Source organism: Homo sapiens, chromosome 10 (assembly GCF_000001405.40).
Source record: "Homo sapiens chromosome 10, GRCh38.p14 Primary Assembly".
Taxonomy (NCBI): domain Eukaryota; kingdom Metazoa; phylum Chordata; class Mammalia; order Primates; family Hominidae; genus Homo; species Homo sapiens.
The window spans coordinates 64,815,677-64,840,505 of record NC_000010.11 but is presented as its reverse complement, the minus strand read 5'-3'; the positions used below and the strand labels follow the sequence as shown (position 1 = coordinate 64,840,505).

At 34.5% G+C, this 24,829-nt stretch overlaps 1 long non-coding RNA gene and 1 pseudogene across 2 annotated transcripts in view; both read right to left on the bottom strand.

Moving 5' to 3' along the window:
* The window catches only part of LOC105378336 (uncharacterized), an 88,286-nt gene that overhangs the window by 62,734 nt on the left and 723 nt on the right, over window positions 1–24,829 (bottom strand). The window lies entirely within an intron of this gene.
* ANXA2P3 (annexin A2 pseudogene 3) lies at window positions 13,629–14,978 on the bottom strand (annotated as a pseudogene). Its single transcript, NR_001446.2, has one exon. The product of NR_001446.2 is annotated as an annexin A2 pseudogene 3 (transcript).

The window sequence follows — 24,829 nt, the reverse complement described above, 5'->3', positions numbered from 1 at the left end:
GGGGAACGTGGCGGCACCCAGATGAGGGTGCCCACGACCATGAAGCCCCAGAGGGGGTGTTGCAGTGTCCCTGTACTTCTGCCATCAGCAGTTGGTTGTGTGTTAGCAGCTCAGTTGGCCCCTTGTCTCATCGTGTGGGCCAGCTGCCCTCCTCTGGCAAGGGCAAAGGGCCAGTGTGACAGCCTTTCTTGGTACCCTCACTCGGTGGGTCCTGCGCTCTTGTCCAGCATCCAAGAAGAAAGAGAGCACATGGACAGTTGAAGGATGGTGAAGGTGGAGAACTTTATTGAGCGATGAAAACGGCTCTTAGCAGAGAGGGGAGCTGGAGCAGGGACAGGAAAGCAGGCCAACCTCCTCAAAATCAGGTTGTCTCTTCCCCAAGTCAGGCCATCTCCCCTTATACCAACTGATTCTGGGGTCTTTATAGGCACAGGATGGGGAGTGCATGCTGATTGGTTTGTGAGAATGCAAGAGGTTAAAGTGAAAATAGCACTTAAAGGTGGGCACGACAGTGTAGAGAATTTGGAAAGGGTAGGTATATGCAAAATAGGTGAAAGGTGGGGATCAATTAAAGGAAAGTGCTCCAAACAGGACAAAAAGTTATCAATCGGTCTGAGGATTTAACCTGTAGCTTGGCTTTCAGGCTTTAAATTTTCTTAGGCTTGGAGGTGGGGTTTCGTCGGGTACCCACCCCTATCTGCCCCCATCTGCCTAGACATTTGGCTGCCTCCTGTCACTATCAAAATGATTTTAAATACCCACCCAGAAGTTATAGACCTTAAAAAATAGTATGCCATAATTAGTATCCGTGGACCAATCCATTGGCAGTTACCTGCCAATTGATATCAACAATGTAATTAAAAGACAGTACCTTAAATATGGTTGTCTACTGAGCATTGAAGACACATTACAATCACAATATCCCAGGGCCAGAGGTATGGGGGGTGGAATACACTCATAGAAAAAAATAGGAGCTGGATTTAACACTTTCTTCAAAAATTCTCGAAACTGATTGCAGATGAGGACTCTGTGCTGGAAAAAAAAAAACTCAATAGACTTTTTTTTTTTTTCCCCCTGAGATAGAGTCTCGCTCTGTCATGCAGGCTGGAGTGCAATGGCAAGATCTCGGCTCACTGCAACCTCTGCCTCCTGGGTTCAAGCGATTCTCCTGCCTCAGCCTCCCAAGTACTGGGACTACAGGTACCCGCCACCATGCCCAGCTAATTTTGTAGATGGGTATCGCCATGTTGGCCAGGCTGGTCTCGAACTCCTGACCTCAGGTGATCCACCCTCCTCGGCCTCTCAAAGTGCTGGGATTATAGGCGTGAGCCACTGTGCCTAGCCTCAATAGACTTTCAAAGCAAATATTTGCACAAAATTATTAGGTAGAATAAGAGACCTAGTATTTTCTAAGAAAAACAAATTTATTTCATTGAGCAGTGGTTTGTAGTTCTCCTTGAAGAGGTCCTTCACGTCCCTTGTAAGTTGGATTCCTAGGTATTTTATTCTCTTTGAAGCAATTGTGAATGGGAGTTCACTCATGATTTGGCTCTCTGTTTGTCTGTTATTGGTGTATAAGAATGCTTGTGATTTTTGTGCATTGATTTTGTATCCTGAGACTTTGCTGAAGTTGCTTATCAGCTTAAGGAGATTTTGGGCTGAGACAATGGGGTTTTCTAGATATACAATCATGTCATCTGCGAACAGGGACAATTTGACTTCCTCTTTTCCTAATTGAATACCCTTTATTTCCTTCTCCTGCCTAATTGCCCTGGCCAGAACTTCCAACACTATGTTGAATAGGAGTGGTGAGAGAGGGCATCTCTGTCTTGTGCCAGTTTTCAAAGGGAATGCTTCCAGTTTTTGCCCATTCAGTATGATATTAGCTGTGGGTTTGTCATAGATAGCTCTTATTATTTTGAGATATGTCCCATCAATACCTAATTTATTGAGAGTTTTTAGCATGAAGGTTGTTGAATTTTGTCAAAGGCCTTTTCTGCATCTATTGAGATAATCATGTGGTTTTTGTCTTTGGTTCTGTTTATATGCTGGATTACATTTATTGATTTGCGTATATTGAATCAGCCTTGCATCCCAGGGATGAAGCCCACTTGATCATGGTGGATAAGCTTTTTGATGTGCTGCTGGATTCGGTTTGCCAGTATTTTATTGAGGATTTTTGCATCAACGTTCATCAAGGATATTGGTCTAAAATTCTCTTTTTTGGTTGTGTCTCTGCCCGGCTTTGGTATCAGGATGATGCTGGCCTCATAAAATGAATTAGGGAGGATTCCCTCTTTTTCTATTGACTGGAATCGTTTCAGAAGGAATGGTACCAGTTCCTCCTTGTACCTCTTGTAGAATTTGGCTGTGAATCCATCTGGTCCTGGGCTCTTTTTGGTTGGTAAGCTATTGATTATTGCCACAATTTCAGAGCCTGTTATTGGTCTATTCAGAGATTCAACTTCTTCCTGGTTTCATCTTGGGAGGGTGTATGTGTCGAGGAATTTATCCATTTCTTCTAGATTTTCTAGTTTATTTGCGTAGAGGTGTTTGTAGTATTCTCTGAGGGTAGTTTGTATTTCTGTGGGATCGGTGGTGATATCCCCTTGATCATTTTTTATTGCGTCTATTTGATTCTTTTCTCTTTTCTTCTTTATTAGTCTTGCTAGCGGTCTATCAATTTTGTTGATCCTTTCAAAAAACCAGCTCCTGGATTCATTAATTTTTTGAAGGGTTTTTTGTGTCTCTATTTCCTTCAGTTCTGCTCTGATTTTAGTTATTTCTTGCCTTCTGCTAGCTTTTGAATGTGTTTGCTCTTGCTTTTCTAGTTCTTTTAATTGTAATGTTAAGGTGTAAATTTTGGATCTTTCCTGCTTTCTCTTGTGGACATTTAGTACTATAAATTTCCCTCTACACACTGCTTTTAATGCATCCCAGAGATTCTGGTATGTTGTGTCTTTATTCTCGTTGGTTTCAGAGAACATCTTTATTTCTGCCTTCATTTCGTTATGTACCCAGTAGTCATTCAGGAGCAGGTTGTTCAGTTTCCATGTAGTTGAGCGGTTTTGAGTGAGTTCCTTAATCCTGAGTTCTAGTTTGATTGCACTGTGGTCTGAGAGACAGTTTGTTATAATTTCTGATCTTTTACATTTGCTGAGGAGGGCTTTACTTCCAACTATGTGGTCAATTTTGGAATAGGTGTGGTGTGGTGCTGAAAAGAATGTATATTCTGTTGATTTGGGGTGGAGAGTTCTGTAGATGTCTATTAGGTCTGCTTGGTGCAGAGCTGAGTTCAATTCCTGGGTATCCTTGTTAATTTTCTGTCTCGTTGATCTGCCTAATGTTGACAGTGGGGTGTTAAAGTCTCCCATTATTATTGTGTGGGAGTCTAAGTCTCCTTGTAGGTCACTCAGGACTTGCTTTATGAATCTGGGTGCTCCTGTATTGGGTGCATATATATTTAGGATAGTTAGCTCTTCTTGTCGAATTGATCCCTTTACCATAAGAATCAATAACGTGAAAATGGCCATACTGCCCAAGGTAATTTATAGATTCAATGCCATCCCCATCAAGCTACCAATGACTTTCTTCACAGAATTGGAAAAAACTACTTTAAAGTTCATATGGAACCAAAAAAGAGGCCGCATCGCCAAGTCAATCCTAAGCCAAAAGAACAAAACTGGAGACATCACGCTACCTGACTTCAAACTATACTACAAGGCTACAGTAACCAAAACAGCATGGTACTGGTACCAAAACAGAGATATCGACCAATGGAACAGAACAGAGCCCTCAGAAATAATGCCGCGTATCTACAACTATCTGATCTTTGACAAACCTGAGAAAAACAAGCAATGGGGAAAGGATTCCCTATTTAATAAATGGTGCTGGGAAAACTGGCTAGCCATATGTAGAAAGCTGAAACTGGATCCCTTCCTTACACCTTGTACAAAAATTAATTTAAGATAGATTAAAGACTTAAACATTAGACCTAAAACCATAAAAACCCTAGAAGAAAACCTAGGCATTACCATTCAGGACATAGGCATGGGCAAGGACTTCATGTCTAAAACACCAAAAGCAATGGCAACAAAAGCCAAAATTGACAAATGGGATCTCATTAAACTAAAGAGCTTCTGCACAGCAAAAGAAACTACCATCAGAGTGAACAGGCAACCTACAAAATGGGAGAAAATTTTCACAACCTACTCATCTGACAAAGGGCTAATATCCAGAATCTACAATGAACTCAAACAAATTTACAAGAAAAAAACAAACAACCCCATCAAAAAGTGGGCAAAGGACATGAACAGACACTTCTCAAAAGAAGACATTTATGCAGCCAAAAAACACATGAAAAAATCCTCACCATCACTGGCCATCAGAGAAATGCAAATCAAAACCACAATGAGATACCATCTCACACCACTTAGAATGGCGATCATTAAAAAGTCAGGAAACAACAGGTGCTGGAGAGGATGTGGAGAAATAGGAACACTTTTACACTGTTGGTGGGACTGTAAACTAGTTCAACCATTGTGGAAGTCAGTGTGGCGATTCCTCAGGGATCTAGAACTACAAATACCATTTGACCCAGCCATCCCATTACTGGGTATATACCCAAACGCCTATAAATTATGCTGCTATAAAGACACATGCACACGTATGTTTATTGCGGCATTATTCACAATAGCAAAGACTTGGAACCAACCCAAATGTCCAACAATGATAGACTGGATTAAGAAAATGTGGCACATATACACCATGGAATACTATGCAGCCATAAAAAACGATGAGTTCATGTCCTTTGTAGGGACATGGATGAAATTGGAAATCATCATTCTCAGTAAACTATCACAAGAACAAAAAACCAAACACTGCATATTCTCACTCATAGGTGGGAATTGAACAATGAGAACACCTGGATACAGGAAGGGGAACGTCACACTCTGGGGACTGTTGTGGGGTGGGGGGAGGGGGGAGGGATAGCTTTAGGAGATATACCTAATGCTAAATGACGAGTTAATGGGTGCAGCATACCAGCATGGCACATCTATACATACGTAACTAACCTGCACATTGTGCACATGTACCCTAAAACTTAAAGTATAATAATAATAAAATAAAATAAAATAAAAATAAAAATAAATAAAAAAGAAACAAATTTAATGTCACAAATCATCATAGAGTAATTATTACCTATGTATCTTTCATAAGCAACATCCTCTTTTATGCTAGTTCTGTCCACTTTTGCACAAATAGTCAAATTGCTTTTTTCTTTTTAAAACTAGTTTCCATCCTAAACTAAATACATAATACAAGTGACAAAAGAAATGAGTCATATAGGCCCCAAAATGTTACTACAACAATGTACAATTTATTTGGAGTCCCCAATATGATTAGAAGGCTTAATGGATTACGAAATGAAACAATGAGTCTCCCTGGAGAATCAGCACAAAATTGGGAGCATTACCCCTTTTGAAAGGGATAATTAAAATACTTCTATATAGATACAAAGAGGTATAAGGGAGACTTCTAGAACTTTTAGAACTCTGAAGACAACAAACTTTCCTGTCTAGTACAAAGCTCTAGTACGTCTTAAACAATTTCTTAAACATTTCTAAAGCAGATTTTTTTCCCTTTACTATTTCTATTTATGGTGTATTCCTCAAGAGCACAGCTAATATAGCCCAAATCCTTTCTTTCTTATCCTGTCCTGGTAAAAATTCAGAATAAAAAGGTATTTGGGGGTGGCTTGGAGCTAGAACATGCTACAGGAAAGTTTTGTGTGACTTAGAACAGGTACTCAATCAGGGAGAGGTAGTCTGGAATCAGTAGGAAGACCTGGGTGTTGCAAGGAAGTAGCTTTTACTGATACAGTAAACATTGTATTGGAACTCACCTCAACATAGTTTCAATGTTCCCTATTTCTGAATGCTTGATGACTAAAGAGAAGACTGTAAAAATCTCCAAGGCTGGCGTTCATTTGTAGAAGCCTAAGCTATTGTACTCTATGACACAGCTGCCAGAAAGAAACACCAAAATAAGGAAGTGTGCTCTTTCTACAGGAGAAAAACATTCATGTTGGGAGATGTGCAAGCAAAGGGAAAGAAATTCTAGACAGCAAGCTCTGAGAGCAACTAAAGGCATCTGAGAAATAGTGTCATCTAGAGAACAGAAAAATATGGCACGAAAGCAGTAAGTAGAACTGTAAACCAATAAATATCAAGACAGTGAATACATTGTGGGGTAGGCCCCAAGGAAATGCTATTCAGTAGGGATAATAAACAATCTATAACTACATAAACTATATGGTGAAATATCACATACATGGAGCAGAAGTTGTAGAAAAAGTATTCATACCTGTGATTCTTTTTAGATAAAGAACTAGCTGGATGAAAATAATTTATACTAAAGATATTAGAACAGTAGTTACTCTTGGGAACAAGTAGCATCAGGAAAGGGGCACAAGGGAATCCTCTAGAACACTGGTGACATTCTATTCCTTGAGCTGAGGGACAATTATACAAGGAGTTACATTTGTGATAGTTTATCGATCTATATATCTATGATCTGAAGACTTTTCCTAGATAAAATTATTTGAAAGAATGTTATATTGAGCATATTAGTTATATATTTTTGGTTTGCGTTACAATTACTTTCAAGATTTTGTGTTTTGTTTGGTTTTGTTTTGCTTTTGTGGTTGCAGTGCATTCTCCAAGCAAACATATTATTTAAAAATACAGACAAATTAATCAATATTTTATTCCTGATTTCTCACTTTTGTGTCATACTTGGAAGTTGTTTCCATCAAAGGTCATTATACACGAAATAAAAGGCTCCTATGTATTTTTCTAAGAAACTATAGAGCTTTTTCCTGTTTTGTTGTTTACATCTCTGATCCATCTGGAGGTTATTTTTGTAAGGAGTGAAGTATGTTTTATTGTCTTACTGGGATTGTATTCCCTATTCATTTAACATGTAAAATCCGCTTTTCAAATTTAACAATGATCAGCACTTAAGATAGATTTTCTTGTCAATATAGAGATTTTCTTGTCAACATCATCTATTGCAGACACAGGTGAGACACAGTATGTATAGTATGATTCCATATTGCAACACCCAGTTGATTATTAGAAACATATTCTGCAATATACCTGAAATGTTAGCACAGAGTATCTCCAGGTTGTAGGTTGGCAGTAGAATCCATATACTTATCTTTATTTTCTGTTTTTCTCTATTTTCTAAATTATTTGTTTATGATTTAAGCATATAATCTTTTGTTTTTAAAAAAGCACTTTTCTGCCCTTCTTCCAAACACAAATTGACCTCCTGTTCCTCTGATAAAAAATATGAGGGTTTTTTGTTTTTTTGATTTTTACTGTGGCCTTTAGAAAGTATTCTTTCTTAACTAGTCATAGAATACCTCTTCATCCACGTTGAATTTTTCACATTGACCTGAATGCCCCATGACCTTCCATGTCTCTATAAGCTTCTACGCCTTTTTTCTGGATGCTTCTCTTTTTTTTCCTATGTGAAGATTTTCCAGAGTTCTATAAACAGTTATTTGCTCTTTTTTATATACCCAAAAATTGTAACTTTAGATCACACATTAAGTTAAATCATATAATTTTTTTCCTATACATGACTATCTCTTCCAGTAAAGTTAATTCCTGAGGCCAGGGCCTTCTATAATTTTCTTTTGTATCCCCATCACTGTTCAAGGGATGCAAATGACCAAAGTTTGTTAAATGAATGAATTACATCAAGACACCGGTAATTTTGATCTGATGTCTACAGTTTGAACCACGATGATGAGAAACAGGAGGTTAGTACCCAAATGACATCAAATGATAAATAAGAATCTTTAAATTTTACTTAGCAGAGCTGGAGAGTCAAATTTATAAATATGACTGATATTTTTAGCCCCCTCTAATTTTAGAGTACAAAGAAAATACTAAACCATAAGGGAACAGATGACAGCATTTATTATTAATTAACTAACTCACGTATTCAACAAATATAAAGTGGATATCTGACAGATTTTTTTAATATGAAAAACTTAAAATACTTGTCCTCAATGTTTCATAATTTTCTAGATGTTCAGAAAATTGTAATTAGCCTGTAAAAAATTTTGATCAAAATATACTGTTTAACAATTGGATTACTAAAAGAAACAAATATCAAGAACAGCCTGAGTTAGCTCACATGTTCCTATATTTTATCAAATAACTTTATGTCATGAACTTGTCATCAAACAAGGACAGCGTATGAAATGAATTATATCCTCTTACTCAGTTCCTATTTATGTTCTAAAAGAACATGAATATATTCTTTTTTCACACCATTGTATCCCCATATCTATCAGAATTCCTGCTTCCTAGAAGTATTTGATAAACACTTGTTAAATAAATGAAGAGTGAATGAATGAGCCATACTATCCTCTTCAATTTTAGCATTTAAATGCAAATTCTGAAACGCTGTTCAAATTGATAGTGCACAATTACCAGAGAAGGAATGCAGGAGATATAGAAAAAAATAGTACATTGGAAAATAAATACAAATGAATGCTCATTACATATATTAAGTATACAGTGCAACTCTGGAAAGTAGTTCACTCTTTACTGGGCTCTATAATGTTGTTTTATATATGAGTTTAACTCATGGGTAAATTTGTCCTAATGTGAGATACATTTTAAACATGAAATACCATAATGACAAAGTTTGAATACATTATTCTTACAAAGATTTTTGCTCTTTAATAGCCTGAAAGAATATCACAAAAGATTTGTGAGAGATATTTTCTTTTCACCTTCAGCTGAAGTATGTGGGTTGGGATAAATGGGGTAGTGTGTTTATGAGAATTTGAAAATTACACAGAACGTAATTGACTTCTCAAGATCAACTCTTTAAAATCTCTTACATACACACAAGCAGAGAAACACACCTTTTATTTTTATGTAAATGAATTTAAAACAAAGGGATTTATCATTTATGAAATTACATGGATTAAATGTTTGACTCACCAAAAATGTTCTTCAAAGGGAAAAGTCTACCTCAAAAGAATGTCTGTGTCAGAAAAGCAGCTTGTTTATCGACTTTAATGCGTTGTAATGATGTTTTACTTTTGTTTCCAGTATACACTATTACCAGAATTAATATTAAATAATTATATTTTAATTTTAGCTCTTACAAAATAAAAACTGTTAAAATCTTACTTGTAAGTAGAGTATTCTACTGGCTAATATAAGTTTCCTATTTAGTGTTTTATTACAATGCATTATGTATGCATTCATATTTAATTTATTTGTTTAAGCCTATGACCAATATAGCCTAATATATTCACTACTTGCCTAGAAACTCAATGTATCTTGGCGATTGCAGACATAAGCACACTTGTATCAGACCTTCAGCTGGCCTGATAAATGGTCCAGTGTTTTTTTCAAATCAGCTGGGACAAGTCAGGTGACAAATGATTTCCATTAGCTTCAGCAGAATGGAAACAAAACAGATCAATACAAATGATTTGCAGCAAGTTTAGATCATAAATTTCCTTTTGCCCGTGTACATCATTTTAATATAGAAGCTTTTTCTTTTCATAGCAGAGAAAAAAGTCATTAGAGAATTGAAAATTCTTGTTACAGCAAACTGTCTCTGATTTAAGGTGAGACCATTTTAATGCACTATTAGTTTTATCCAGTGGTACATAACGATATTATTTTAAAATATGGAAAACAATAAAAATGTTAATGAGCAACGTTCCAGAAAATTAATTTTATGTGTAAGCTGTGTACCAACCATAAAATGCTGAAGTCTATAAAGTAAGCTTTTTGTGTCTATTTTAATTTAGGACCTTCATTGTTTGAATATTTTTCTTTAGTTCTATTTCTTAACCATTTTTTAATAATTAGTTTTTGATCGGCAAAGTATCTTCACTTCCTTGCTTCATGTTCTAAAGATGTGGTACTCCCTTTACGTATTATGTTTCAACGGTAGCAAATTATAGAAAAAGAAGGATAGGGAAAGAAAGAAGAAGAGGATTAAAAAAATCAAGCCACAGAAAGCAAATTAGGGTTATTTACCTTTTCCCTAAGTTATTCCAGTGTATATAGATTCTTATATAGTCATGGAGGAATTTGTAAAGACCCATAGAAACATACCCAGTGATTTCCAAGGAAGTCCTGGCAGTTAATAGAATTATTTATTTATATGACTTTGTGGACCTATAAAGGCTGAGCATAAAACTATCAGTCATGCTACATGTACCAAGAGCATCCACTCTGAACAAGTTCTGCTACACCCAAGGAAAATATATGATGTAAGTGCCATTCATTGCACCCATGGGGGTCCTCTCGCTGCTGTAATAAGCAGACAGCTTTTACCTCAGTATAGAAATGGTAGTTCAAATTCATCACCACTACCTGAGAGAGAGAGAGAGGCTGGGATACATGAGGCGCTCTCCAGCTGACTACTGTTGCTGCATGAACAAGCGCAAGGGGACAGTAAGTATCTCAGCTTCTATAGCCTTTCTAACAAGTCAGTTAACCTTTCTCAGGATTATAATTTATAATTTAAATTTATAATTAAATTTATAATTTATATCACAAGCATACAGCAAGAGAAGAAGTTTCAAGATGAAAATAGAAAGAGAAACAATAAAACAAACTTGCTTTTATGACCCAAATAACTTAAAGGAGTTTTGGCTTTGTTTGGACAGTAGGGGAAGTGTACATGGGTGTGAGATTAGGACAGGGATACATTTATCCCCTCAAGAGCAGATTTTAAAGTTTCCAACGTCACCCAACTTGTCTTAGTAGCATGGAATAATTTTTCTAGACTCATAATTTGGTTCATAGAGAGTGCTCTAGTCCTGTATGAAAACCCGTGTTTAAAGCCTGACTCCATTCTTTATTCTCAGTAAGATCCCTAAAAATCATTTAAATAGTTCCTCATCAGACTACTATTTGAAAATCAAGCAAAATAATATCCCCTCTGTCTAGATCCTAATGCCTATCAGCGTCTGGTTTTCAAACTGCCCTAATGAGTCCAAAGTGTGTATGAGTAGAGTACAGTGTTAAAGAGCGTGGAGTCTCCAGTCACATTGCTTGTATTCAAATCCAGACTTTGCAAGTTACTAGCTTTGTGATTTTTGGCAAGTTTTTTAACCTCTGTGTGACTCAGTTTCTTCAACTGTGAAAGACGGATAACAATCATTCCTACCTAATAGGATTGTGGTGAGGATTAAGGAAGTTAATAGAGTAAAGCGCTCCTAATAGCACCTAAATCATGTCTTCCTATCTGTTTTAGCTGTTATTATTACTACTACTAATAGTATTATTATTATTATCATTATTATTGGTGTGTGTTCAAGAATGTCAAAAACAATTTGAAACAGGAGCTGAAGACTTGGAAGAAGGTAATAGAGGATTAGGAGTCTTATAAAAAAAAAACAAAAACAAAAAACCAGCAAACAACAACAAAAAAAGCTTTTACCTTCCAGGCACTCACTGAATTTTGTGACATATTGGAGAACTTTAGTTTGGTTCTCCTGGGAATCCAGCCATTATGTAAAATATCTGAATGCCAAGAGGTTGCTATGATGGAGAGGACTTGTGTAGCCTCGTTGGTCACCAGATTAAGCTGAATTCCTTGGTGAACCCTAGCATTAATGGCCATGAGAATGAGCCCTATTAGATGCATATTTAACTCCAAATATCAGATGACTGGCCCAGCTGACAACGACTACAACCAGGTGAGACACTTCAAGCTGCCCAGCTAAAGCTTTCTTGAATTCCAAACATGTAACATCATGAGCAAAATAAAAGGGTTCATTGTTTGATGGTGTTATGTTTTGAGGATTTTTATCATGCAGTAATAGCAACCAGAACAGCACCAGTTCTGTTCTCTGCTCCTACCTTCTTTCCAAGAACCCAACTTTTTAGCCTTTTAGTTTTCCTGCCTCCTACCTACCTTTATGGCCCTCCAGCTCAGCTCTTTGCCTGGAATCATAGTCCATTACCTTGTAATGAGCATTTGCATGTTCCATGAAGAAATGTAACCAGCTATTAGCTCATCTTTCCAAGATATATGACTCTGGAATCTTGGTCTCTCATATTATTCCTGTATTACTTTTGTATTGCCTTGAAATAACTTTTGTTTTGTTCTGCTTTGTTTTAAATGTTATTTGGCTTTTCCACTTGTAGAAACATTGGACTACAGCAAGCTATTCTTTCTTAGTCAGAAGCAAAGTTATTATTGCCTTAATAATGAAGATTGGATTCTAAAATCATTATTGACTCAATTCCTTAATTGTATGCAAAGAACTAGAACTTGACTCATATTAAAATTCAAAAGATTTTATATTAACCATAAATTATTCAGAAGTCTTCTACTTCTTAAACCTAGTGTACTTCAATAACATTCCTTCTGAACACAACCCATCTTCTTCAAAATTTCTTACTCTAAAACTAACAACAAGCCATTTATCACCATCAAGACATCCTCTGAGTCTTCTTTTACTTGGAGTCAGCTGATGTTCTTTAGAAAGAGAAAACTTACTTTCCTGTGGAGCCAGCATTACATGAGTGACCACCCAAAAGACTCCCTTGCCAGAATTCTTAATTCATCAGCTCTTTTCTGTAAATCCTCAGCCTGGATTCAGTCACATATTTCCATTTGCTCTTCCAAATGGAATTTACAATTAATTGGAGAAATGCAACAACACGTGAATTGGTGCTAATGCAAACTTACAGTTCTAGGAGCCTGTGCTGACAGAAGTGGACCTTTAGTACCCTGCCAGTTTTTGAGTATTATATATTCTATATAATGCTGGAGGTTCTAGATAGTGAAGTAAGTCAGGAGAAAAAAAGAGATATACATATTTAAAAGGAATAAATAAAATTTCACTTTTGTAAAATAATATGATTGTGCATAAAATCCATAAAAAGAAGTGCATAAAAAGAACACTTATGTAATTTTCAAATTTGTGTAACTTTTTATAAGGTAATGAGCAAGAGTAAACAAACAGACATATATTGTATGTCTATTGCAATAATTAACAATTAACAATTACATATTAAAATGCAATTTAAATGTTATTAAAATATAAGAGATCTACAAATAAATCAAACAAATATAACAAACAACCTATTTGGACAAACTATAAAATATCACTAGAGAAATTTTAAAATATCTGAATTAATAAAGTATTATGTTATCATCAGGATTATAAGATTCATTTGTAACAATGACAATTTTACCCATATTGATTACAGTTCAAAATTATAATAGATTTGTAAATCCTAGCCAAGCTTATTTAATTTCCTTTTGAACATTGAAAGGATAGAATTTGTCAAGGTTTCCTTGAAGAACAACAATGTGGCATGACTTGTTCTACAGATACAATTTTGTAATATAAAGTTACAATATTTAGTATACATACAATCGTTTTAGTAAATGGTAATGAGAAAATTAGATAGGCTTATTTGGAAAAAAAAGACTCAAATGTGAGTCATGTCAATATAGAATAAAATACAAAAAGCAAAATACTAAACGATCCAAAAGTTAATATAGATAAATATATTCATAACTTCAAGGTATATAAACATTTTCCTTTTTTTGTTTCTAAAGTACAAATTCAGTTTATTCATCTGTTTATGACACAGTACACAGGAGGCAAAGTGTTTCACATCATAGATTTCACTTCCAACTGCTTGGAATGTACATTTCTTTGGCTTACAGGAGAGACTAGACAGGAAAGCCAGGCTATGCTTACGCAACTAAAATGAGGTTGGGGGCAATGCTAATGTCATCTTCACAGGGACGGCCACAGGGACTGTTAGCCACAAGCTGGTTTTCTAGACCTGTTAGCTGGAAGCGTGGGGAGCACCGTTTCTGGAAGCTCAAGCTATGTTGGGCTTCAGTCATCTCCACCACACAGGTACAGCAGTGCTTTTTGGGTAGTCGTTCTTAGTGTCTTGCTGGATGTAATAGTACGGGGACATGCCATACTTTCTCTTGAATTCAGACCTAATTTTCAACATGTCCACTTCACTGCGGGAGACGATGATTCTGATCAGGACCTTATCTCGAGCCCCCGGCCCTTCATGGAGTAGTACAGCCAATCAGCAAAATACAGGGGCTTGTTCTGAATGCACTGGACCAGGTTCAGGAAAGCATTTTCCAGGTCTCCTTTAACCTCTTTCTTGATGCTCTCTCTTGATGGGCTGTAGCTCTTGTACCTATCAAATACTTTCTGGAGGTGGGACATGCTCTACTCGGTCATCATGCTGATCCACTTGGGAACATCAGTTCTTTTCCTCTTCACTCCAGCATCACAGAAATCCCGGGCATCTTGGTCAATCAGTTCATAATCAACGACAGAGCCATCCTCTGGTCTTCTAACATTTGCCAGGGCAAACATCAGCTTGCAGAAGTCACCATATGTGTCCGAAATAATGTCCTTCTCCAGATCAGTTTTGTACATTTCTTTGTAGACTCTGTTAATTTCCTGGAGCTCCTGGTTGGTTGTTGAGCAGATGATCTCAACGAGGGAGTCCTCCTCAGTTCCCAGCCCCTTCATGGAAGCTTTTAGCTCAGAAGCATCATACTGAGCAGGTGTCTTCAATAGGCCCAAAATGACTGTCTCCAGGTGGCCAGTAAGGCTGACTTCAGTGCTGATGTAAGTTCCTTTGTGGTCCTTCTCTGCTAGGCAAAGGCAACATCCTCTCTCCGAGCATTCCTGCTGTTGGTCAAAATGTTGACAATGGTGAACTTACCCACACCTTTTGTCCTGATGGTCCTTTCAATGTTCAAAGCATCCCCCTCAGCATCAAAGTTGGTGTAGGCTTTGACTGACCCATATGCACCTGAGGGTGTAGAGTGATGACCCTCCAAGCTGAGCTTGCACAGGATTTCGTAAATAGTATACATTTTGAAGGAAGCTGGGCCAGGCACTGAGAGCTGAGAGCGTCCCCAGATGCTGAGCCAAAAATTTTCAACAGAACACAAAAAGCACTGATCATTAAGTTTATTTTTTATTTTTATTTTTATTATTACTATTATTATTATTTTCTTTAAGATAGACTTTCACTCTTGTTGCCCAGGCTGGAGTGGAATGGCATGATCTCGGCTCACTGCAACCTCTGCCTCCCGGGTTCAAGTGATTCTCCTGCCTCAGCCTCCTGAGTAGCTGGGACTACAGATGCTGGCCACCACGCCCAGCTAATTTTTTGTATTTCTAGTAGAGATGGAGTTTCACCATGTTGGCCAGGCTGGTCTCGAACTCCTGACCTCAGTGGTCCACCCACCTCGGCCTCCCAAAGTGCTGGATGACAGGCGTGAGCCACTGCACCTGGCCTGATCATAAATTTTAAATGTAAGCTTTGGTCATAAAGATTTGATCACAAAAAAAGTTAAAGTCTGAAACCATATTTGAAAATTCTAAATAAAAGACACATAATCAGAAAACCTAAAGAATTACAAATCAATTAGAAAAATATAAACAAACAAAAAAGGGTAAAAAATGTGAATAAAGAGGAAATTGGCATGTACAGTAAAACAATTGAAAAAAAGTTGTTCAATTTCATTAGTCATCAAGGAAAAGAATATTAAAGTTTCAATAAATTGCACCCAAAAAAGAAGATAAAATTAAATTCCCATTGTTTGTATGAACGTAGAAAAACTCATACTATTTCTTTTAGGGGATATAAATTCATGCTATCGCTTTGGAAAACAGTGTGATATTATCTAGTAATTTAAAAATATGAAAAACGCAACTATTTCCTCATAGGTATATAGACAACAGGAATGTATTTATATATGAACTCAGAAACGTGTAAGAATATTCACAGCATTCATCATAAAAGCCCTAAACTGGAAACTATCCAAATGTCCATTAACAGGAAAACTGTTGTATAAATTGTGGATATATTCATCAACTGAAATGCTTTACAACAATCACAGGAAAATGGAACTACAACTACACACACTACTTTCAACTGATCTCACAAGTATAACATTGAGCAAGAGAATTCAGACCCACATTTATGTATAATGTATTATTCCATTTATATAATGCTCAAAAATAGGCAAAACTGAATGATTCCATTGAGTTATCATTCTTTAGGTAGTAATACTACAAAGAAAGTGAGTGGTTATTACCTTTACATTGAGGATAGTGATTGCCTTTAGAAGAAATGGACCAGTTTGTGATTTGAATGGGTGTGCAGGGAGCTCATATTATTTCACATCTTGACCTTGAAAGTGGTTATAGAGGTGTTAACTATATAATAACTTTTTAGCTGCACGTTTAGATTTTATGCAGTTTTCTCTGTGTTTTTAATTCAGTGTAAGAAATGATTAGAAATACTGTCAACATCTCATGTCTTTTATATTTTTCATCTTTTTCTTCATCAATCTCTGCCAATTATAATTTTATGTAAAAATATGATGAGTAAATATAATTAGAGGAGTAGGAAGAAGAATGGAAACTACTAAAGTGATACTGTGGAAATTCTTCATAGTAAGAAAAATTTTATGACAAACACTCACTGCTGCTTCAGTTAAGGGAGGTCATGTTTAACCAGACTTCTGAAATTATTTGAAAATATTACACCTATAATAGATGATAGAAATTCAATGATGTAGTACTCCTGTAATTTTCTTCAGGCAAAAAGCCATGTTACATATGAGAAATTAATGACTAAGGTAACAAGTTATTGAATAAGAGGTTAGAAATAGTGCTGGATAGAAAACTGACAGCAGCATTCCTTTTACTCACAGGCTAAAGCCATAAAATCCCTCCTCTAGTGTCTGTTTCTGGAATATTCTAACCACGAGATAAGCCATCCTCTAGGTACTGCTGAGACCTTAAGGACTGAAGGAGTCAAGGAAGTCAGGATTCCTTTAATCCTCTACCTTCAAGGGCCACCCCATTTAAAAGTTGTGCTGACCTTTCTTCTTTCTCTCCTTTCTCGCCTCTCCTCTTCTTCCTTATCTTCTCATTCATCCCCTTTTCTTAACCATTCATATGTTTTTTCACCTTCCTGTAAGGGACAGGAAGTGTGGAGCTTTCCAGCCAGAGAAAAGTAAGACTTGCCAGGTGTTTAGCAATTCTGCTCCTGTAATCTCAAGATATTGCAAGTAAAGATTTTGAAAGTAGAATCATCTATCCTATTTTTGAAATTCAAAGACTCAGATATAATTTGAATATGAAGATTAAAAATTCAGTAAAATTTTATTCATCGTTATATGCAATAATGGTCATTTTCTTAGGGAAAGTAAGGGAGATATGCCACTTTCTATTTAAGCACTTTGCTTTAATATACATTAGGAAAAATCATTATATTTGGCAATCATCAAAGTAATTTGGACAAACACACTTTTAAAAAAACACTATAGAAACTGGCTTTTCCAGCATTGTACAGTTTGGTGAACTATAATAATCACCACAGATCAGTTCATTACCAAGTCCCCATCTTCTCTTTGCTTTCAAGACTGGTTTCTAGAATCTATTTGTTAGGTTACACACACACAAACACACACACACGCACAGACACACACGTTTTCACACACACGTGTAATGTGGCTTTTTGCCTGGAGAAAAATACATACAAGAGTACTACATCATTGAATTTCTGCTATCTATTATAGATGTAATGTTTTCAAATAATTTCAGAAGCCTGATTAAACAGGACCTCCCTTAACTGAACATACTGTATATGTTCACAAACATAACAGTAGTCCCCCTTATCTATGGATTACATGCTTCAAGATTTCCAGTGGACAGCACTAAACTGTGTTTTTTTTCCTACATGCATGGAAACCTGTGTATATTTTTCATATACATAAATATCTACAATAAAAAGTTTAATGTATAAATCAGGCACAGTAAGAGGTTAACAACAATAATTAATGAAACGGAATAATTATAGCAATATACCATAAGCAAAAGTTATATGAATGTGATCTCTTTCTCTCTCAAAATGTCTTATTATACTTACTCACCTATTTTTAGGCTGTGATTGACTGTGGGTAACTAAAACCAAGGGAAGTGAAATCACAAATAAGGGGGGAATACTGCACTGTGAAAACTCTCTTATGAGAAATGTCATAAATATTATATAATTTTCTCATATTTCAGATTGAAAATATGGACAATCTTTTTAAATTAATTAATTTAATTTGTAGAGATGAAGTCTCACTATGTTGCCCAGGCTGGTATTGAACTCCTGGGCTCAAGTCATCCTCCCACCTTGGTTTCCCAAGGTGCTGGGATTACAGGTGTGAGCCACTGCACCTGGCCAGATAATATCAACAAACTTAATCATACCATAGCTGGCTTTCTCTGCACATTTTGAATGAAACCATCTTTGAAACATTGAAATGTTTTGCTCATATATGATTTGCTTTTCTAGTGCCTTAATGCTAGATTTGACTAATTTATATTAGGAAATTAATTAGATTCATAAATAGAAATTATCTTTGCTAATAATAATTGGAAGTAAGAACTTTTACCCCAGTGAACATAAATATCAAAATTTCAAAATTAATCAGAGGTTTCCTGCAGATATATCATGTATGGAGAATAAGGAGATGTCATTTCTAGGAGTATTTCCTAACATCCAAGGCTGAATTTGTTGCCTCTGCTCTGTACACCATTTATCACACTTTATTATTAATGTCTATTTTATTTTCACTTCCCCTCCAGGTCAGCACTCTTCAATAGAATATTCTGTGAAGATAGAACGGATCTGTATCTGTGCTGTCCAATAGGTTAGCTACTGGCCACATATGGTTATGACACACTTAAAATATGGCTATTCTTAATCAGAATGTATCGTAATATAAACTACAGATTATATTTCAAAAACTTAGTGCAAAATTAAAATATATAGCATTAATATATTTTTACATAGAATGCATGCTGAAATGATAATATTTTGAATATATGGGGTTACATGAAATATAATTAATTTCACTCATTTTTTCTACTTTTTAAATAATGACTACTATGAAAATTTAGAATTATGCATATAGCTAGAAATTGTAGAGTACTGTATCTCTATGAGGAGGCATGCTTTATGTCTGTGAAAAAAAAGCATTTTTCTACATACTACATACAGTATTTTGTAACACTATATTCTAAGTTATATTTTAACTTCTATTTTCTATTAAATAGTAGTGTGTGCAGGTCATAATTTACTTGGGGCCTTTTCTTTTCTCTTTTAGTGTTTCTGTTTTTGCTTAGTGCATCTTATAATCAGTTATAAGTTAGGACCAATAAAATATGTTTTCTTTCTATGTTTGCCACATAAAAACACAGTGCAAATCAGTTGATTCTTAATCCTGTGAAAATATCACCAAATAACTAAAAACATTATATTTCAAAACGCTTGAATTAGTGTGCTTGCCAAAAGGAAGCTTACCCAGAAGCTTACCCAGAAGAAAGTGCTTTCTTGCTTACCCAGAAGAAAGTGTTAGCAAATACTTAAATAAAATGCAGCTCTCTAGAGAAATAATTGAGGCAGATCAGTTTCTCCTTCTCTTTGAATATTACTATAATCACTTCAAATAAGTCTACAGTATTGACTTTAGTTAGCATAAAAGAGAATTTGAATGATGGCTTGAAGTTTGTTGACATTATTTCTAACTAATAATCATACAATAGATTTGCACTGCATGTTTACATTGGTTGGAAGGAAGGGTTGGGAAACTTTGAGGAAAGAAAATTTAAGAAAAGTAAAATTATGTAAATTTTACTTTTACTTTTCTTTGATGTTAATATTTGTTGGTTTTTTCCTTTTTTATTTTAAAAATAATATCTGAAACAAAAAGTAATACAAACAGATGGTGTCTAATCAAATATCACGGTCCACGTTAAGGCACCTCCAATTTCACTCCTAGTAGCAACTCATTCCACTTCTGTCACTTTAATATATCTGGTGATTTCCACATAATTCTTCATCATGTGTTAACATCTTTATTTCTGAATTTATCAAATTTAGAAAAACATATATTAATGCTCAACAATTAAAGATAGAGAAAAGCCTGCATCATACTAAGCCCTATTTTCCTGTGATGTACTCCCATAGTCAATAGTGTACTATGTTTAGTTTTGTGTAGATTACCTTCCTATCTTAATTAAAAAATTAATTATCCCATTAACTTATGACAGTGTCTCTTAACTCACCATGTCTTCATATTAGAAAATAAGGGTTTTAGTACTTTCATCTATTCTTCTTTCTATTAGTAAATGTATTCCTTCCCTCTTCTATTTTCTATCATTCACGTTGCTAGAATATTTATTTATTTCCTGCAACCATAACCAAGTTTTTCAAACATTGATTCTTCCATAAATTCTAAAGTTGAAACCCAATAGCCACATTTCCACTTCTATGACTATGTAAATATTATCTACAGCCAAGTTAGGCTAACTCTAAGTCTATGTATCTTTACCCTCACTTCAATTCATTGATCTCAAAAAGACAAAAGCAATTATTTCTATTTTTTAATAAAATGCATATATTTTGCAAGTGCACTTTTATAACAGTTTGTGATACCTAATTTTACCAAAAACTTCCTGGGTTTTTCTTCCACAATCTAATTTTTAAAATGCAGTTTCATGTGGCTTGAATTATCAGAGTTAATAATATGCATTCCTGATATTAAAAAAAGTGACTTTTTATCTAGATGAAATAGTAACAGTGTTGAGTATATAGTAGATGCTGAACAATTATTTGTTAAATGAATGAATAATTCATCTTTCAAAGAAAGTTTTAATATCTAGATATAGAAATTTTTGAATTCAAGAGTAAGGTTCTTTTTTTACTGAATGCAGTAGATGAGAATAAATTATTAAAATGATTCTTAATATACTTTTGATGTAAGGATACTAAGAAAGAACTAACTGGATTTTTTTAGGTCAATGATTTTAATCATATAATTCAAACCTGAAAAATATTTGAATTACACGTGAACTTTTTACAATATGAGAATAGTTGACCACAAATTTGATAACACCATATTAAATTAAACCATATTAAATTAAACCATATTAAATTAAATTAATACCATATTGTCTAATTAAAATAAATTAAAGAATATTTCTAGTCTTTAAATACACATGAAAATTAAGCATTATTTTAAGAGTATGTTGTGACTCTTTCATGCAGTAAAAATTATTAACATTTTCTTTTAAAAATATGCACTTTATCTTAAAACAAGGCATAATTAAGGTGGGAGCTAGGTAGCAACTTTTTTTTATTTTTAATTTTTAATTTTATATTAAAATAATTTTATTTTTTATTTTATCAAATATATATTTAAATTATTGATGGTTTTAAAAAGTAGTAAACTTTTAATAAGGTTAAAAATTTAAATTTTTAATATTTTAATCATGTTCATAATCCTGATGCTGATGATGAGGCATTATCCTAAATCAAGAGGTAAACCTTTGAGGTTTGCTGTAATACAGTTGGGAGCACTGTATGAAGAGATGGATGTAAAACAGTGATCTTGTCATGTCTTATTTGTAATTAATGGAAAAAAATTCATAAATGCTCATGAAATAAGTTGCTAATAAATGTCCATAAAATAAAAAGAAAATTTGCTTTCTGTGTTACATGGAATATTCATAATTAGTGTCATTTCACTTCCATTCAATGGATTTTAAAGAATTTTGACCATCCTAGTATCTTCCAGATTGTTTTCATCCTCATAAGCCCAATCTGTCATTTTTCCCATTTTAAATGATTTGACATGTTGCTAAAACAGGACTCAGAAGAATTGGCTAAATATATCTATAACTGAGCTACCATTCTTTTGAATAAATGTTTAGTTTCACTTGGGCGATTTAGAATCAGAAGCAGAAGTTCCAGGAGGATAAAATGGAATGTGAACAGTATAGACAGATTAGAACAAATGAAAGATACGTAAAATCACCATGGGAAACAGTTAAGTTTTAACATTCATTGTCATGAAATTGTGTGATAGATGTTCACTGAACTTGTGTGACACTCCCTGCATAGCAGGCACTCAAGAAAGGTGATTGATGGACTGGCAACAAGTTTCCAAACTTTGGAATTTATTTAGCATGTCAAATTGAGAATTTATTTTTAAATACTACATTTGTTTATAGTTAAGATTAATGCTATTCAACTATTCAAAAAAATCACAGTTGCAACAATTCCCTAAGGAAATATTTCCCTAAGGAAATATTTCTTTTTATCTGGCCTTATTTTATTTCACTGTGTTAGAGAGTGATAGACCATGAGGGAGTTATTCTAGAGATGACTACTTCAGGTAGTTGTGAATGCCTAAGAGATACTTCTATAAATGATGGTACTTTCATTACAAGAAATTGTTCAAGTTGCCTTTCCATCTTGACTAATATTATGAAAGTTAAGTGGCAAAAAGTCAAGGAAAAATTTTGACATACCTTAGATCAAATACTGATCATTGCTGCTTTCTAACATATAGAATTAACAGAGACATAAAACAGTAAATTCAAGTTTTGGATCCATTACATACGTAAGTTTTACTAATTCATCACAATCATAGACACAGTTGCACAAAACAACATCCTGCTGATATTCTATATAATATGTAGAGTGTTCACTAATTTTAATTTGTTTTGTTCTTTCTTGTGAGTTAACCGATTGGTTCACTAGAGGCAACGGAATCCATGAGACCATAGCAAACACATATCTCCTACAAAAATGTCTCATTTCTGGCATTGAGTTAGGAAATTTTTCCAGAATTTCCTTAAAGTAGCACTATAAAAAATATAAGGATACCAACATCTAGAATGATTAGACACTATATCATAAATAATATCAAATATCAATCCTTACACTCAACTGACATTGTAGTATTGTGGTAACAAACAGTTTACAGTGGGATGTCATTGTTTGCTTTTGCTGTGAAATAACCTACCCCAAAACTCAATGCCTAAAAACAAGAATCAATTCTGTCCAATGTCAGTATGGGTTTGAATCAGCTGGGTGGTTTTTCCACTGGTAAGGTTGGAGCTTCCACATCACCTACAGTCAGCTTGGGGCTGATTTGTCTAGAATGAACTAACCCACAGGTCTGGGGGTCAGTGCTTCCTATCATCTGTGGCTATGACCATCAGGCTAGCCTGGGACTCATTTGCATGGGGGTGATCATAGTTTTCAAAAAAACAGCAAAGTAAGGTATATTCCAAAGCAGAAGCACATTGAAGTCCCTCCTTCTATCACATATACCTGTTACCCCAGGGCTTGCTGTCCAAAGCGAGTCACGTGACCAAGTTAAGTATAAATGGATTTTAGTCTTCTCAATAGCATGGATACAAACAGCCATGATTAAATTGAGGGCTATTGCTATAACAATCTATAATGCTGGAATAATGGCTTGCTAATTAAATACAAACAAATCAGGTCTTTATATTGTCCTAGTTGAATCAAATCAATGTATTAGTAATATATAAACTTTTCTTTATCCATTAGTTCATGAATGTATTTAAATATTTATTTATTCAATTCATGGTAAAAATGTAGAATTAAAACATGACTTAAATTTAAGTTCTAAGAAAGATTTATTTATTTATTTATTACTTCCCCATGCCAATTAAAATATTTGGAACTGAATACTTAGGTATGCAGCAGAGAGAAAAAAGTTGGCTGGTCCTCAAGAGGCACTCTGAGTCCACACACACAGCCATGTAAAATTGGCATGGAGATAAAACACAAAAAGAGAATTATAAGAGACGAAACAGAAGAAAGCATCTTAATTTTAATATAAAATAATCCTAAACACAATTGTTTGTGCCTATATCCAATTAGAAATTCCTCTTCACATGCAGAGGAAGATAGAAAAGCTTAGACAAAGTGGGACTATGTTTGAGAGAGAGACGAAAAATTCCACTTGAGAAATAACTTCATACCAAATATTTTAAATGATAAAACTCAACACTGCATATACAACCTGCTTAGGTAAAATGGTAAAACACATGTAAACCTTAGTGATGATACACAGAAAGAATGAGGAAAATGTTACCATATATCTGTAATTTCACACCTAAGAAATTATGCTAAAGAAAATATTCAACAGAACATTCTGGCTTAATAACAAACTATTTTTAAAAATTGAAAACAATTATAGAAATATGGTTTAAATTACAATTGAACATAGAGATAATTGGGTAGCCATTAACATTATAATTATGAAGATTTTTTTCAACACAGAAAATGTTTAACATGTAAATAACATTGAGTAAAAATGCTAATTTATATGATTGCTACCATGTTTTACATACACACCCATACGTGTATATGTAAAAAAACCCCATAAATTTTGAGTTACAGTGGTTAACTTAATGAGTAATTGTTTGAAAGTAGAAATTATTTATATTTCTATGTATTAAATTTGAGATATAATAACATTCCTTGAAATAAGTATACCCTGAATTCATTAAAAATTCATAAAAACAATTTAAAATAAGAGCAAAATATATAAAATGAGTTTTATGCCTTAGTTACCAATTGTTTCAATTCAAATTCACTGGCTTTACTATAGGTATTAAAAGGTTGCATAGCAGAGTGGGTCAATCTATTAAGGTTTCATTGTTTTCTTAGTAAAAAGTTACTTCAAAAATGAAATAGAAAATAGAGAATTATATTTGCATTCAAAACTAGAAATTGTTCCAATAGTCCAAACCAAGCAAAGTCCTTATTTAACATAAATAACCAGGGTAACTGACTTACTACCTTACTTTTCTGTGTACATATAGTCTACAAAGAAAATATATTCAGTGTTTTAATTATACTAGGCATCATGTTATTTA